This window comes from Homo sapiens, chromosome 9 (genome assembly GCF_000001405.40).
Source record: "Homo sapiens chromosome 9, GRCh38.p14 Primary Assembly".
Classification (NCBI taxonomy): Eukaryota; Metazoa; Chordata; class Mammalia; order Primates; family Hominidae; genus Homo; species Homo sapiens.
Genome location: NC_000009.12, coordinates 35,815,500 through 35,831,926, shown reverse-complemented (window position 1 = coordinate 35,831,926; position 16,427 = coordinate 35,815,500). Strand labels below are relative to the sequence as shown.

The 16,427-nt window shown below is 49.6% G+C and overlaps 2 protein-coding genes across 28 annotated transcripts in view, besides 4 other annotated features; one reads left to right on the top strand and one right to left on the bottom strand.

Annotated features, from left to right (window-relative positions):
• The window catches only part of TMEM8B (transmembrane protein 8B), a 36,288-nt gene extending 33,589 nt beyond the window's left edge, over nucleotides 1-2,699 (bottom strand). For 16 of the 21 annotated variants that reach the window (XM_011517902.3, NM_001042590.4, XM_011517901.3 and 13 more), the window contains exon 1: nucleotides 1,972-2,699. In XM_011517902.3, the coding sequence (XP_011516204.2) occupies nucleotides 1,972-2,479 (508 nt within the window). In that variant the 5' untranslated portion in view covers nucleotides 2,480-2,699. The remainder of the gene's footprint in view (nucleotides 1-1,971) is intronic. The other 5 variants (NM_001042589.3, XM_047423472.1, XM_011517910.4 and 2 more) reach the window with 2 other exon arrangements.
• Nucleotides 1,607-2,107: an enhancer, noted in NCBI's record as "H3K4me1 hESC enhancer chr9:35829817-35830317 (GRCh37/hg19 assembly coordinates)". NCBI's record gives its function as "activates a minimal SCP1, AML or CMV promoter by ChIP-STARR-seq in primed H9 embryonic stem cells {active_cell/tissue: H9 hESC(primed)}" and the evidence as "EXISTENCE:reporter gene assay evidence [ECO:0000049][PMID:30033119]".
• Nucleotides 2,393-2,842: a silencer, noted in NCBI's record as "silent region_19883". NCBI's record gives its function as "represses an Ori minimal core promoter by ATAC-STARR-seq in GM12878 lymphoblastoid cells {active_cell/tissue: GM12878}" and the evidence as "EXISTENCE:reporter gene assay evidence [ECO:0000049][PMID:35858748]".
• FAM221B (family with sequence similarity 221 member B) lies at nucleotides 3,195-15,536 on the top strand. Of its 7 annotated transcripts, NR_052026.2 has the most exons (8): nucleotides 3,195-3,464; nucleotides 5,766-6,363; nucleotides 6,554-6,697; nucleotides 10,299-10,489; nucleotides 11,927-12,037; nucleotides 12,533-12,730; nucleotides 12,918-13,037; nucleotides 13,421-15,536. NR_052026.2 is itself a non-coding variant. In NM_001012446.4 (7 exons), the coding sequence occupies exons 2-7, from the start codon at nucleotides 5,766-5,768 to the stop codon at nucleotides 13,456-13,458; spliced, it is 1,209 nt and encodes a 402-aa protein (NP_001012448.2). In that variant the 5' UTR covers nucleotides 3,195-3,464; the 3' UTR covers nucleotides 13,459-15,536. The 7 variants fall into 7 exon arrangements, 6 of the variants coding, with proteins under 6 accessions (NP_001012448.2, XP_006716831.1, XP_047279327.1 ...); NM_001012446.4 differs by lacking the exon at nucleotides 10,299-10,489; XM_006716768.4 differs by lacking the exon at nucleotides 10,299-10,489 and adding an exon at nucleotides 4,990-5,135 and having other exon boundaries at nucleotides 12,918-13,497.
• Nucleotides 5,471-5,830: an enhancer, noted in NCBI's record as "active region_28339". NCBI's record gives its function as "activates an Ori minimal core promoter by ATAC-STARR-seq in GM12878 lymphoblastoid cells {active_cell/tissue: GM12878}" and the evidence as "EXISTENCE:reporter gene assay evidence [ECO:0000049][PMID:35858748]".
• Nucleotides 16,243-16,422: a silencer, noted in NCBI's record as "silent region_19882". NCBI's record gives its function as "represses an Ori minimal core promoter by ATAC-STARR-seq in GM12878 lymphoblastoid cells {active_cell/tissue: GM12878}" and the evidence as "EXISTENCE:reporter gene assay evidence [ECO:0000049][PMID:35858748]".

Genomic DNA, 16,427 nt, shown 5'->3' with positions numbered 1-16,427 from the left:
GCCTCTCCTCAGACAAAACCCATCACCACCATTAGGTCACAGAGCACCCTGTACTTTGGTCCAAAATTGCCAAGGCATTCATTATTAACAGCACTAAAGGCAGCCCTGCCTCCATTTGGGTGTATTGGTACTCTTTTCCAACTTCATTACAATTCTCCCCAAAGCACCTGAACCTGCTTCTGGGCAACAGTGTTTTTATCCACAACTTTCAGCTGTATATGCTCTGTGGCTGTCGGTCACCCTGCTCCCCTCACCAGCCCAATGCTTGCTCAATGGGCACATGAAGAAGCCATGATGGCAGAGGATGGAAGCTAGGAACTTGGCCCAACAGCATAAACTTCCCCTTACCAAAACTGAAAACCTGACTGGCTACTGCCTCTGCCCAGTGTCCAATTTGCCAGCAGCAGTAATCAACACAGAGTGCCTCCACAGCTCCTTCCTTCAAAGGCACTGGCTGGGGATGGATGGATAACTTATATTCGTTATGGGAGGCATGCAACACTGCCCTCACCCTTGGAACTGCTGAGAAAGGGTCTCCAGCCCCATTCACAGCTTCAGTGATCTGTCCATATGAGGAGGAGGCAGAGCTGAAGAGGAATGTACATGGGCCACAACATGTCCCCTCCCCTTCATACCATAACACAGGCGCTCAGAAGATACACTGGCTCACATGCACCCCACACACATGCACGTGTCTACACTTAACAACACACAAGCATGTACACATGCTGCCAGCCTCCCCACAATCCCTCAGTTACACACATACACATAAGTGACCAGACATCTCTGCAGGGGTTGTGACCTTTCACGTGCATTCGTCTCCTTAAGTTTGTACACTGAACCAGGCCCCCAGAGCTCACTGATACCCATTCTCCACCCCCCAGCTGTTCTGTTGGCTGTTATTTCCAAAGACTCCATCAGGCACATCTCCATCCTATCTAGAGTGACACCCACCAGAGGTGGCTACAGACTTGGGCCATGAAGACTACAGTCACTCCATGATGGAGCCATCTTCATGGCACATCCCCTAGACCAGGACACCCCCTCCTCCTCCCACATTCCAACCATTAAAAAATTGGACCTCTCTCTCTTCTGTCCAAGTCACTTCCCCACCGGAGGGTGGCCCTTGGCTGACGCCTGGCAAATAAGGAACAGTTTGTGGATAAAGCACCCTTGTGGGCAGACCGGGGAGAAGGGAGGTTATGCTTTGAGCCTTTCCCCACTTGGGTCTATTTTTCTATTAAGTATACATTGCAGTGGATAAAAAAAAACACACTAGTATGAAATAGGAATTAGGAAACCTTTTTTCTAGCCCCAGCACACTGCCATTCACAAGCTCTCTGACTTTGGACAAATTGCTCCCTCCCTGAGCCTCAGTTTCCCCATCTGTAAAATAGCCTCCGAGTTTCAGCCCTGCTCTAAAAGTATCAGGAATTATTCCTAGGCAAATCAATCTTCTTTGGAACAAGAATCATTACAAGAAGAAAACTCATTATAATGGCAACTAATCCATATTCATCTATTTGCTACATATTATCTTTAAAACTCTTCTTCATGCCGTTTGAATGCATGCCCAATATCTCAAAGGTTTGGGCTATATATTCCCACACTACACTAGGGGCTTCTGGTGTGGGACTGTCTCTCCCCCATCAAACTTTGTGAGCAGGAGCAAAGCCCACAACATTTCCCTGGAAAAGCAAGAGTCAAAGTGGGGTCAGGACAGACACCAGAAAAAATCTTGGAGTCTCTGTGCTAGAAACTGTAAGCCACCTGCTGAGCCTCAAACCCAATTAATTACCACTCTTTTGACCCTGCCAATCCCTGTTGTGTAAGACCTCTCTACTCTCTATTTCTCCCACTTGCTCCCCAATGATCTAGTTCCCCAGGTCCCACCTCTCCTGAATCTCTCCAGCCCACCCCTCCCTGCCGGAACCCCATTCCTGCCTCAATCTTCCCTGCTTCTGCACTCACCAGCCCCTGGGCCAAGGACAGAGAACAGCAACAGCAGCAATAGGGCTGGCGGCAGCTGAAACCCAGACTTGAGTCTAGGCTGGGAGAGGGGCAGAGTATGAGAGATAGGGGGGACTAGAGGGAGAGACTTGGGTAAACACAGAGATGAGGGCAAAGGCTGAGATAATGGGTTGGGCTGGGCTGGACACTGGGGCTTGAACAAGGGCAGGGAGTGGGATGGAAGGAAGGGCTGTGATGGGGACTGCAGCAAGGGACGGGGTTGAGCCAGGGCCTTAAGCAAACACTGGGAATGGGGCTGGGACAGGGCCTGGGCTGGGATTTGTGACAGGGGGTGGAACGAGGGCCGAGGCCGGGATGGGGGCCAGGCCAGGGGCAGAGACTGGAAGGGGGTCCTGGATGGGGACCCAGGCAGGGGCTGGGGCCGATGTGGGAAGCGGGGCGAGGGCGGGGCTGGGGGCCAAGGCGGGGATTGGGATAGGACGAGGGGCCGGGACAAGGGCTGGGCCATGGCCCGGGGCGGGGGCGGGGCCGGACAGGCCAGCGCGGGGCGCTCGCAGAGCTGGCCCGCGGCTCCGCTCCCCACCCCCGGGGGGTGGCCTCCGGTGTCCTCGCGGGCCCGGGGCGGGGGCCGGGGACCTGGGTAGGAGTTCAGGCCTGGGCGACTCCGGGCTGCGCTGAACCGGCGATAACCAGGCCCCGCGGCGGCGGCCTCGACTTGACGTCGGCGTGACGCCCCGCCCCCCGGCCGGCTCGATTGGTCCCTGTCAGTAAAGCCCGCCCCCGCCCTACTCTATTGGTCCCCAACTTAGTCCTGCTGGGCTTCGAGGACACACAGACTCCGCCCCCGCCTCAGCTACCCGAGACCCTGCCTTTCTCACCCCAAGCACAGAGCCCGAGGTCCCCTCAGATCCTCACAGCCCCCAACGACCGCCCCACAGATGTCTCAAAGGAACCCTATCCTCACAATCCCAGACTCCCCCGGACGTACGCACAGATCTCCGCAGATCCTACCCAAACACTCGCTCACAGAGATCCCGCAACACACACCCCACTTTTCAGAAGTAAACCCTCTGGGCTCGCCCCCTCGAGGCCCAATGCAAGCCCCTCAGGAGACCTTACCCACCGGGGAGGTGACCAGACCGCCGTTGCCACGGAGACTACTAGGCGTTCCGGTTGCCCTGGTGACCGGCGCCTACTCTCCTGGCCCGGGTTCCGGAGGCTTCAGTCAAGACCCTCCCTCATTGGCCCTAGACCCCTTGTCCCTACCCACTTCCCCAGGTCATGCCAGAGCTCCTTTGCGAAGTTCTGCAGATATCCAAGTCCCCTTCCCAGATAGCAGACTTTCAGGCAAGGCATTTCAACACTCAGCACCTGCAGCTGAGGCACATCCACAACCAAGAGCCTTTCCTCCCTGAGGATCAACACCTCCCCCTGCCATCCTAAGTCAAGGTCTTGACCTAAGGACTTGTAACAACCAAGCCAAAGCCCAGAGGGTAGGTGGTTTCTCCAACGGCCCTTGCCCTCTTCCCTCAAAGACATCTGTCTTTCTCCCACCCCTCAGTCCCTTCACATTGTTGTAGTAGTAGTAGTAGTAGTAGTAGTAGTAGTAGTAGTAGTAGTAGTTGTTGTTGTTGTTGTTGTTGTTGTTGTTGTTGTTGTTGTTTGAGACAGAGTCTCGCTCTGTCCCCCAGGCTGGAGTGCAGTGGTGCGATCTGGGCTCACTGCAACCTCCGCCTCCCAGGTTCAAGTGATTTGCTTGCTTCAGCCTCCCCAGTAGCTGGGACTACAGGCGCCTGCCACCATGCCCAGCTAATTTTTGTATTTTTAGTAGAGACTGGGTTTCACCATGTTGGCCAGGCTGGTCTCGAACTCCTGACCTCAAGTGATCCACCCGCCTTGGCCTCCCAAATTCTGGGATTACTGGCATGAGCCACCATGCCTGGCCCACATTCTGTACTTTTCATCCTTACTCTCCTCCTCCACCCAATTTCCTCCTCCCCTTCTCTTTCCCCTTCCTCACCTCCCATCTTCTGGTTCTCCACTCTTAGGCCCCTTTTCTCTCTAGCTGACTCTGGTCATCTTCCTCCCTGTAATCCTACCTCTGCCCCTAATTCCCTTCCCAAACATCCCCTTCAAAAAGGCTCTGATGCATTTAAGGAGTGATATATCTAGCGTCTCTGGAACATGGGGGTAAAGTAGGGAGCACGGAAAGTTAAGGCAGGAATCCTCAGGCTGTGTTGAAAATGATGACAGGCCTTGAATGCCAGGGCCAAGAAATTTGGACTTAATCCTTTAGACTGAGTCATGGAATGTTTTTAAGCCACAAAGTGCCAGTTGTTGGGCTTGCACTTTAGAAAGATCCTGATTGGGTCAGGAAGGAGGACTACATCCTTGCAGGATAAATTAGGTATATCCCCCTCCCCACCGTATCCTAGACTCACCCCAGAACAACATCAATTTATTTGTATTGCCATTGTTGGTTAATCGGTCTCTCTCCTAGACTCAACTCAATCTAGAGCTTAGCACAGCGGGTCAGTAAAAGCATCAGATTAGGCTCATTGTAAAAGTATAAGTTACATAAATCCATGAAAGAATGGGTGAATGGATTAAAATGCTGTGGATGGAAGTAGAGGGGCAAAGTTATTACACAAAGGCTGAAGATGATGAGAACTTGAATAAAATTGGAAGGGAGAGGAGAGAATGCATTTGGGGAATATTTAGAAGATAGGAAATAGAGTTATTGGTGCCTATTTGAAGATGGAGTCTAAGGGAAAAGGAAAAGACTAGGATAATTCCCAAAGTTCAGTTTTGCTGTCTGTGGAAACACTCAGTTAGAAATGACCAGCAGGGGCCAAGCACGGTGGCTCACTCCTGTAATCTCAGCACTTTGGGAGGCCAAGCAGGGCAGATCACCTGAGGTCAGGAGTTCAAGACCAGCCTGACCAACATGGTGAAACCCCGTCTCTACTAAAAATATAAAACTTAGCCGGGCATGGTGGCACACGCCTGTAATTCCAGCTACTTGGGAGGCTGAGGCAGGAGAATCACTTGAACCCGGGAGGCGGAGGTTGCAGTGAACCGAGATTGCGCCACTGCACTCCAGTCTGGGCAACAGAGCGAGACTCCATCACAAAAAGAGAAGAGAAGAGAAGGCCAGCAGGCAGGTGGGTATGAGTGTGAAGTACAGAGGTTGAAAAAGGTCTGAGCTAGAAATGTGAATTTAGGAGTCATTGGTACACAACTGGAAGTAGTTAAAGCTTTGAACATGAATGACATCATTAAGGGAGGAGGATGTGTGTGGTGCCTAGACAAAACCAGGCTGCGTGCAGTGTCTTGCCTTATGTGACAGCATTCCCCTGCACTCTCAGGAGCCAACCCCAACTTTGGCTTGGTATTGCCAGTCTCTAGAACTCCATGGTCTGACCTCCAGGGTTTTAAGATATGCCAAGGACCCTGCTCTTGGACTGCCCAAGTGGTGTTGTTCAGACTCCCTCCTGGGACATGGTTCTCTGCTACCATCTACTGATGGGATTCGAACTACTTCAGTCTTTCAATCTTTAAGTTCCAGCTCCCTAACAAGCCACAGCAGCATGCCATATGAGGTCTGGACACATGGGTGAACCTTTTGGCATCACACTCTAGGACCCAGAGTTCATGTTGTTTCCCTCTTATATCTCAGCTGCACTGATATCCTTATCCAAATTCCATAATGCACTGCGAACCCTGGGCTCTGCCCTGACTTGCCGGCCCTCTATTTCCAACCTAATGAAGCCTGTACCCTGTTCTACCACTAGATGGAAGCACATGAGATCATAGAAGAGCCTCATATCACCATGGATGCAGAGAAGCACCCCCCTTCAAAGGACCCCTCTGCTGAGGACTTACAGGAGAACCATATCTCTGAAAGCTTCTTGAAGCCTTCCACCTCTGAGACCCCGTTAGAGCCCCATACCTCTGAATCCCCTTTGGTGCCATCCCCTTCCCAGATCCCCTTAGAGGCCCATTCCCCTGAAACCCATCAGGAGCCTTCCATCTCTGAGACTCCTTCAGAGACCCCTACCTATGAGGCTTCATTGGATAGTCCCATCTCAGTGGTGCCAGAGAAACACCTTACTCTTCCTCCCCAATCACGAGACTATGTCTGTCTGTCTTCTTCTGATACTCTGAAGGAAGACCTCTCCTCTGAGTCTTCTTCCAATGAGGTCCCATGGACAAGGAGGTCTACCCATCTCTCTGAATCTGAGAGCCTTCCAGAACACTGTCTTTCAGGCCCTTCATCCCAGGTCCAAGTGGACACAACCGAAAAGCAGGAGGAAGAAGCAGGAGAGGTTGAAAAGGGAGTAGATGCCAGTGACAGCACTGCTCACACAGCCCAACCTGGACACCAACTAGGCAAGAAGAAGAAGAAGAAAGGAGTTAGCTGTAATTGTACCTGTCCTCTCCCCTGTCCTGTTCTCACTACTATTCACTGTCCTTGACTTGCCCCAGGAGGAGGAGACTGGGTTACTCTTGGACATGGCCCCTTCTCTTAGTTTTAGGGCCTTCTCACTTCCCCCTGGTTACTCATCCTCTCCCATCCTAGGTAACACAGCCCGCCCAGTGTTCCCTGCTAGGCAGACAGAGCTGGTGGAAGTGGCTAAGGCAATGCATAGAGAGGAGTTTGGTGCTCAAGTGAACAATCTTTTCCAGTGGGAGAAGGATGCAGCCCTGAATGCCATCCAGACAGGTGAGCCCATGTGGCCTTTCAGAGGCCTGTGACAGGCCCATGGGCATCCTCTAATCCAAAAGATCTGGGAACCTGAACATTCAGCAGATAGCTTCCCCTTTTGGAAATGGCTATACCACCTGCCTGGAAAAGGAGCAGGCAAGTGGGCCAAGGAATACAAGGGTGGATGCAGACAAAAAGTGGGGAGATTCATATAAAGCCCAGGTAGAGACAGGTAGCTGAACTAAAATTATTAAACACAGAAGGGTCGGCTGGGCGCGGTGGCTCACGCCTGTAATCCCAGCACTTTGGGAGGCCGAGATGGGCGGATCACGAGGTCAGGAGATCGAGACTGTCCTGGGTAACACGATGAAACCCCGTCTCTACTGAAAATACAAAAAATTAGCCGGGCGTGGTGGCAGGTGCCTGTAGTCCCAGCTACTCGGGAGGCTGAGGCAGGAGAATGGCGTGAACCCGGGAGGTGGAGCTTGCAGTGAGCCGAGATTGCGCCACTGCACTCCAGCCTGGGCAACAGAGCGAGACTCCGTCTCAAAAAAAAAAAAAAACCAAAAAACAAAAAACAAAAAAAAACAGAAGGGTCATGGCCCACCCCAGATATAGGGCCCAGAGAGCCTACAGACCCTAAAGCAGAGATGGCCCAGGACCCTGGACAGTCCCCAGGAGACTTGCTGTTCTGACATGACAAAGACCTTAGTCCCTTTGGTGGAACTCCATTAAAAGGCTGTCACCCCTGCATGCCAGGCCCATGCTGGGTACCCAAAAGCTTTGAGTTCTGTTACCAAAGGGGAGACCTGTGTCCTCTGGCCCTGCTGTTTCCAAGCCTCAGCCTGTGATTAGTACTCTTGACAGTCCTGTTAGTGGCATGCTGCGTACAGATGAACTTGCAAAAACATGCCATCCTATGCATGAGCATGCCTACCTGTGTTATGGAAATTCATGTCTATAGGGATTACCTTCAGTAAGAGGGCCACCCTGACCTGCTATAAGGATTCTGGTCTTTCTAGACTGAATTCAATAGATGTTATGACATTTATTTTGGTCCTTCATACTTCCTTTCCCTTTATGATGGGAATAGAGCTACGATGACAGGCCTAAAACATAAAGACAAGCAGGTAATTCTAAATGCTTATCCCTCCTCCATGAAATTTACTTTCCCCTTTCCCATGCAGGGACCCTCCACCTCCCCACCCTTGCCCTCCCGCCCCACCACCAACTTTGTTTGCTTATGTTAACATATTCGGTTACTCTTATTTTCTTGCAAATTCTGGCTGGCAAGGTGGCTCACATCTGTAATCCCAAAACTTTGGGAGGCTGAGGCAGGAGGATCACTTAATTGCCCAGGAGTTAGACAGTGAGGACAAGACAGTGAGACCCTATCTCTACAAAAATAAAATAAAATAATCCAGACATAGTGGTGCACACCTGTGGCCCCAGCTACTTAGTAGGCTGAGGTGGGCAGATTACTTGAGCCCAGGAGGTCAAGGCTGCAGTGAGCCGTGATTGTGCCAGTGTATTCCAGCCTGGGTGACAGAATGTCTCAAAAAAAAAAATGCAGGATGTGTTCAGTCCTCTTATTCCCCTACTCAGAACCTCCTGTCTACTCCCTACTCCTCAAGCCCACTGTATTTCTTTTTCTTCTTCAAATTGAACTTCTTCATCTTCCTGTTTAAACAGGAAGTTTTATAAAGAAATTCATGTCATTCAACCCCGAACAATTATATTTGAGGTCCCCTCCTAATAGTGGGGATGTTGAGTCCTGGGTAGTCCATAACAGTATATGTGATGTGTACAGAAATATCAAGTGTAACCTTTGTTTTTATTCATTCGACAAACATTTATTGAGCACCAACTATGTGCCAGGCATTGAGCTAGCTATGGAAGTGGTAATGCTGATGGGGGTTCAAAGACAAAATACTTGGCACTCTAATGAGAGATACCAATAAGTACAAGGACAATTATAATTCACTCTAATAATTGCTATAATCAAGGTTATCCTAGACTGCTGCATGAGCAGAAAAAAAAGGGGCATCTTATCTGGAGTGCTTGAGGAATAGTAAGCCTTGGAAGGAATGACTTCTCAGCTGATATCTGTAAGATGAGTAAGAAGAGGTGGCCAAGTAAAGAGTGCTGTAAGATGAGACATGACAGGGCAAGGCACAGCAGGAATCTATAGCAATGCACTATGCCTGATGCATAGAGTGGTGGGGAGAAGAGCCCACTCTGCTCTAGAAGGGCAGAATTGTGCAGGAATTTCTGTGCCAAGTTAAAAGCTAGAATTATATCCTGAGGGCAACTGAGAGTCACTAGAAGGTTTTAAGTAGGACAATAACATGAACGAATTTCTGTTTCTGCAAGATCACTCTGGCAATAGGGTAGACTGGAGAAAGACAAGACTGGAGTTGTGAGGCTAAGAGAGGAGGTATGGAAAGGCAAGTGAATACATTGTGAGGCACTGGTCATAACCAGGAAAGAAGTAGATGGGCTTAGGTGGAGAGAAGTGGACAGGTTCAAGAAATGCTAACAGGCCGAGCGCAGCGGCTACCACCTGTAATCCCAGCACTTTGGGAGGCCAAGGGGTGGATCACCTGAGGCTAGGAGCTCGAGACCAGCCTGGACAACATGGTGAAACCCCGTCTCTATTAAAAATACAAAAAATTAGCCGGGTGTGGTGGCGGACACCTGTAATCCCAGCTACTTGGGAGGCTGAGGCAGGAGAATTGCTTGAACCCAGGAGGTGGAGGTTGCAGTGAGCCGAGGTTGCACCACTGCACTCCAGCCTAGGCAACAGAGCGAGACTCTGTCAAAAAAGAAAGAAAAGAAACAAGAAAAGTAGGGAAAAGAAAAGAAAAGCTAACAAAGTGAAACTGACCATTGGAACAGTGGATGTATAGGATAAGAGAGAGGGAAATGCCTGGAGTGCCACCAGTTTTTGGCATAAGTAAGTGGTAGGATAATGGTGCCATTAACTGAATGCCTAGAAAAGGGTAGATGCTTGGTAGGCATGTGTTGGATGAACAGAGGACAAAGGATGAGAGCCAGGTTTGGAGGGAATAATTGGGCATAAGACATTTGAAGTGCTTATGAAACATGCTGGCCCAAGAGTCTAGTAGACAGCTGGCTATATGGGTCTGAAGCTCAGGAGAGAGGGCTAGGCTGGAGACATTGTTCCTGTAAAGACAGCCATGTGTTTTATGGAGACATACTATGCATAAAGAGATGTCATCATGCAAATGTGATTATGTGATTGTGGAACTGGACTGTGTTAGACAGAATCAAAATGGCATCCCAAATAATGTCTCCTCCCCCGCCAGGCCTTGTCCACCCACAACAGGAAGGGAGTTTGGAATCAGGACAGAGAGTAGAGGGTCCCACTGGAATCCACAGCCACCTTCCAATTGTCCCACTTTAAGAGCACTAACACTTGTAACAGAATCTGAAGTATAGTTGCCAGTCTCCCTGTTCAAACTCCAGTCTTCTTCATCTGAATGCTGGGCACTGATTCCTACACTAGTGCTTGGACTTGACTGCCCCCCGGCCCTCCGAGCAGGCCTTGATCTTTGGGCCTCACCTCCTGCTTTTTTAATGTATCCTGCTACTCCAGACAGAATTCGGAACTCCTCTAGTGGAATCCTGGCTCCCGCCCACCTGCATTGTGACTGCCTATACCTTGCTCTCTCAACAAAGCCTCCCTGGTGTAAGGGGGCACTGGCACTACAGGCAATCAGCATCAAGACAGAAGAAGCAAAGCCAAAAGCCACATCTAGACAGGCTTTAGATCCTGACAGACTATGGGTAAGACAAGAAAACTTAATCTGAGGCACGGAATTGTGAATTGTGGCCCTGACCACAGTCAAAGACCAGATGATGCCACTCTCCTTATTCATGTTATGGAACCTCAGGGTTATGCCTGAATACTGGCTCTCTCTTCCTCTTGAAGGAATGAGCTCAATTGTTTAATCAGGCAATCTACGTTCTCTCAGCAACCATTTTGTGCCAGGCCTTGTGCTAGGATGAGAGATACGGGTGAAAAGACAGCTCCCTTGAAGAACTCATGGACTAATAGGAATACAAGGGAATGATCTATTATAATGCAGTGTACTGCAACAGGAGTAGCACAAGGAGCTATGGATGGCAATAGGAGGGGCCCAGACAGACAGGGGAAGTCAGGGACACCTTTTTGGTGGAGGTGACATTTCAGTTGAGCCTTTAATTGGGACTAAGAATCCTACACCTGGCAGTCCCACTGCATGGGGCCTCATACAGGATTCTTGGCTAGAAGTTGGGGTACTCTCAGTTCTCATGGAGAATGAGAAAATCTGAATTGGAGGTGCCATCTGGTTATCCTCCCTCAGTTGCACAGCACCACCCTCACCTCAAGACTAGTCACGAAGCCAGGGATTCAGACCTCACTGCTGAACACCAGCTCTCGAGGGTTGTGACCTCTTGCTGGTGCCTACTCTCAGGGACACTTCTTAGCCTCACTTTCCTTTCCACGCCTCCTTGCTTAGCCTCAAAATATATAATTTTTGGTCTTCACCACTCATGACTGCTACCTACCCCTTTCTCCTGACCCTTGAAGAACCTTTGGCAGCCCTTCTTAGGTACACAGAGAGCATTGGTACAATAGCACCAGGAACACAGAGGGAGGTATTAAGGTACCAACGTGGAGACGTGAGAGGAAGCCCTCCTCCTACCTTCCAGCACCAGAGCTATCCAACCTCCTTCTCCTCTTCAGGACCTTCAATAAATATGCTCCTTAGGAGCCAATCCCATTGTCTGTACATCTGGCCAATCATCTTCCCTTTCCCTCACCTTAGACACTTCAAGAAAACAAAGCAAAGTTGGGCTTTAGTGGGATGAGGAGAGGAGATGAGAATCCCTGTGGTCACAGAGAACTCAGTGAGATTCATGTTCATCCTCAAACAAAATTTCATCTATAATCTTCCTGCTCAGAAACCACTCTCTTGAGTCATCTCTGGCAGGCTGACAAAGATGGAGTAGATCCTGGGTAGGAAGAGAACTGAAGACACTTCTGGGGTAATGAGAAAACCCTGAGGAAAAAGAAAATCTAAGGGGTAGAGGTGAGGACTTCCAGGTGGAGATAAAGATACCTGGGGGTGGGGAGAGGTAAGTTCCCCCCACCCCCTCACCTCCATCAAGGGATAGGTAAGAACACTTCGGGGGAGCTTAGAATTTTTTTACTTCTCACTTTTAATCCTGCATACCTAGGTCTCTACATTGGCTGGCGCTGCCCCCATTACCTATGGGACTGTTTCCGGATTGGGGATGAGTCCAGATGCTTTTGTGGACACTTGTTGAGAGAGCACCGGATCATCTCAGGTAGGGGAGAACTGACCAGCCCCTCTCGAGTGTGGAGGAATAACTGTACTCTGTCATGTCTTGGGAAGTATGAGAGAGAGCATGTGGCTGGGCACGGTGGCTCACCCCTGTAATCCCAGCACTTTGGGAGGCGGAGGCGGGTGGATCAAAGGTCAGGAGATCGAGACCATCCTGGCTAACACAGTGAAACACCGTCTCTACTAAAAAATAAATAAATAAATACAAAAAATTTAGCCAGGCATGGTGGCACGCACCTGTAGTCCCAGCTACTCAGGAGGCTGAGGCAGGAGAGTCACTTGAAGCCAGGAGGCGGAAGTTGCAGTGAACTGAGATCATGCCACTGCACTCCAGCCTGGGCGACAGAGCAAAACTCCATCTCAAAAAAAAAAAAAGCATGTCTGCGTGCATAGGGGGTGGTGGGGATGGAGGATGGGGTTGGCATGAGAAGGCAAGGTCCTATCAGATTAACCCTACCATCCATCCCCAATCCCACAGACATATCGGTGCCCTGCAAGGTAAGCCAGTGCCGCTGCTTCATGTTCTGCTTTATCCCATCACGCCCAGAGGAGGTGGGTGAGTTCTGGCTCAAGAGACGGGCCACCTTTGACCCCAAGGCCTGGAGGGCCCAATGTCGCTGCAAACACAGCCACGAAGAACATGCAGCCACTGGGCCCCATCCCTGCAGGCATCATGGTAACTTCTAGGGCAAGAGGTGTATTGGGAGCAGGGTAGGTGGGGATAGGATGCAATCTGGGGATAATGATGGAGAGCAGGTATGAGAGCCTTGGGCATGCGGTCACTGAGGAAGAGATGAGAATGTGGTCAGCTCCTGGGGATACCACCATTTCCTAAACTCTTCTTGGCTGCACTTTTGCCCCAGGCTGTTGCTGCGGCTGTTTTGAGTCTAATTTCCTCTGTGCGGCCTGTGACCGGCGCTGGGAGGAACACGAGACTTTCTTTGACACCCAGAAGACCCGGCAACGAGGAGGAAGGCCTCGCGGTGAGGCAGAAACCTGGGACAGGGGGCCATTCCAGGGTCTGTAGTCAGAAGGCCAGGCAGGAAGGCACTCCCATCCTCAACCATCCCTTCCAGGACTAGCGCGCTCCCTCAGCCCACCTCCCCACCACCCACCTACCTGCATCCCACATCTGCACTGGTTTTCACCCCCAGGAGCAGACTATGTACCTTTTGCAGAGATGGCTGTGCTCCGAGAAGCCATCCTCAGCAACTCTGACTTCTAGGCCCTGCAGATACAGGGGCCCTCTGGCCTTCCCAGCTCCCACCCTAGTCCCCCGGGGCTCCCTGGTTCACACGGTCTCCAGCCTGGCCTCCCTTCTGACCCCCATACCTGACCCTTTCACCTCTGCTCTTTCTTCCTCCAGGGACAGACACTGTCAGCAACTGGCACAGGCCTTTGTGAGTCTGGCCCAGATCAGCAATAAAAGAGGAGTCATTGGAACCTGACTTGGCTCTATATGGGGCAGGTAGATCCCAGCCCAGGGAGAGACTGCCTAATAACTTAGAGTTGACACCTATTAGACACAGGAGAAAGCCTGGATCTGGCCATCTGCCTCCATCACACTCACATTCAAGCTGCCTGTTGAAGGAAAGTGGCTTCAAGGAAGTCAAGAAGGGAGGAAGTTTCAAGAAGGATAGAGTGGGAAGTGATGTTAGATGCAGTTGGGGCACCAATAAGATAAAGACTGAAAAGTGTCCATTGGGTTTTGCAATTAGAAGATCTTTGGGAACATCGGAGAGTGCAGTTTCACACTGGTGCAGTGGAGGCAGGAGTCAAACAGCAGTGAGTTTCAAGGAGTCTCTTAAAGAAGCTTGGATGAAAAGTACAAAAGTAAAGTCAGACAATATCCAGAGGGAGTTGTGGAGTCAAGGAAGTACTTTTGTAGGAAGGAAAAGGGGAAGAGGCCAGTAGACTAAAGGACCTTGAAGGACCCAGAAGAGAGAGAAGAGATGCCTGGTGAGACAAGATCCCAGAGATGGAGGAAAGGGATGAGGTCAAAGCAGAGGTGAAGGGATTTTCTCTGGACAGGAGAAACACCACTTCCTATGACCAAGACGAAGGAAGAGGATGGAGCCTTCCTAGAGTTTCAGGGAACAAGAACCTGTGGAAGTTCCCCTCTGATGGCTTCTATATGCCCTGTGAAGTAGGAGATAAGGCCAATGGCTGGGGTCCAGGGGAAGAGGGATAAGAGTAGGGAGCAGGAGACAAGAAGAGAAAGGGGAAGGTTTGGGAAGGCTAATGTAGGGAACTGGAGAAAAACCTCATCAGTGGGTAGTTCAGGATTCGGGCACAGTTGGAAGTGAGAACCTAGTTAGAGAAGCAGAGAATCCAAATATTTAATGGGTTGATGATGTGAGGGTGTCAGGGAGGAAGATCAGGAAAACTAAGCAAAAGAAGGCATGAGGATGTGAAGGGAGCATACAGCACCAATAGGGAAAGAAAGTGATGCCAGGAGGCAAATGACAGATTGAAAAAGGGAGCAGTCAAAGGAAGAGAAGTCTCTAATGAGGTACAGTAGCAGACGTAGGGGCAGGGGTTGGAGTACAAGAGACAGTGTTCAGAGGCTGCAGAGCATAACATCTTTCAGATGAGGGCAAGTGAAGGTGATAAGTGCTTGAAGTAGAGAAAACTGTGGGCCAAGGATCAAAATCAGTGAATGTGGGAAGTCACAAGGGAGTCCATAGGTTCTTATGGGAGTAGGAGATTCCAGCACTAATGGGCTCTGTGAACCCAGGCAAGTCACTGTCCCTCTTTAGGCTGAGTTTCTGGACCTGTAAAACAGGAATAACCTCTGTGTTGCCTACTTTCTATGAGAACCAAAGAAATAACTAATTTCAAAGTGCTTTGTATCCACCTATCCTCCAGACTGGCTTCCTTCCTCTTCCTAGATCCCAGATCCACTTATCTCTCGCCCTTCTCCAGGGCAACTCTAGGGTCTCCCAGTGTCCCAGAGGCACCACAGAGAACTGCAGCCTCTGGGGCCCAGAGAAGAGGCCATTCTACATTTCCTCACAATTAGGGGGGCCATCTGTTCCTCCAAGGGAAGGAATGCAATCTGGACTGCTAGGATCCCTGGGGAAAATCACAGAATCAAATGTCTGCCCTTTAGAGGAGAAAGGATTTTCTAACAATAATATAGCTATACAAAAGAGATTGTTATATCTCTAGAAGCAAAGTTCCCCAACAGTGGTTATATGCCCCATGATAACCATTCACCTAAAACTAATTCAACTAATAGTCAACAATAGAGTTAGGATTACTATGATAAACTCATTGAAGGAAATAATAAGCAGCCAATACAAACTATATTTACGTAGACTGTAAAAATATGAAAAATTGATTACACATGGGTTAGTATCATATGCAATACATATTACATATTATGAAAAAAAGACAGGAAACACCAAATGTTATTCATTCAACAATTACTGACCACCTATATGTATCAGGTCATGTGTTTAAAAAAAAAAAAAAGAAAAAAAGAAAAACCAAAGAAACAGTGGTAACTTGTCCTATGTGATATCAGACTAAAACTTACCTAGCGTCTGAGAATATTAGTATTTTGTGACCCCACGTTTCTTATGTCAAAAATATATATTCCAGCAGTGCAAACCTGACTTATTGGTGCCTCATACCTGTAATCCCAGCACCTTGGGAGGCCGAGGCAGGAGGATCACGAGGTCAGGAGATCGAGACCATCCTGGCTAACACGGTGAAACCCCGTCTCTAATAAAAATACAAAAAATTAGCCGGGCGTGGTGGCGGGTGCCTGTAGTCCCAGCTACTCGGGAGGCTGAGGCAGGAGAATGGCGTGAACTCGGGAGGCGGAGCTTGCAGTGAGCCGAGATCGCGCCACTGCACTCCAGCCTGGGCGACAGAGCGAGACTCCGTCTCAAAAAAAAAAAAAAAGAAAAAAGAAAAAAAGAAAAAAAAAGAAAACACCAGGCACCGAGCTAACTGTATCACACACCTTTTCCGATTAGAAAAGAACAATGAATACATACTCCTTTGCTTATTATAATTCTTGTGCGGCAAATATAGGACACTCTTATCTCCTCCTGCTCAAAAAAAAAAAATGCAAAAACCACAGACTTTTTAATCTATGGAGTGAATGCGTTAACAAGAACATAGAATTAAGGAAGAATTTCCCTTAGATAAGTACATTAAAATCTCCAAAATGCTCAAGGGACTGAAACTGCCCTTGTGGAGAAAATGCTGCGCATCAGCCCCGCCAGTTAAAACAAACAAACAAACACAAAAAAACACACCTCATCCCCGTTCACCTTTAGCCCCACCCCGGGTGGTTCTTGGAGCCAATAAGCGCCGGATGCCCTCAGAGCCCCGCCCTCCTCCTGGCCAAAGCGGTGAGA

Excerpts from the sequence above, each read along its gene's own strand:
- FAM221B (XM_047423370.1), top strand. The coding sequence starts at position 5,766 with ATGGAAGCACATGAGATCATAGAAGAGCCTCATATCACCATGGATGCA. Across the intron at positions 6,394-6,553 it reads GAAGAAGAAAGGAGTTAGCT|GTAACACAGCCCGCCCAGTG; the intron begins GTAATTGTACCT and ends CTCCCATCCTAG. Across the intron at positions 6,698-11,926 it reads CCTGAATGCCATCCAGACAG|GTCTCTACATTGGCTGGCGC; the intron begins GTGAGCCCATGT and ends CTGCATACCTAG.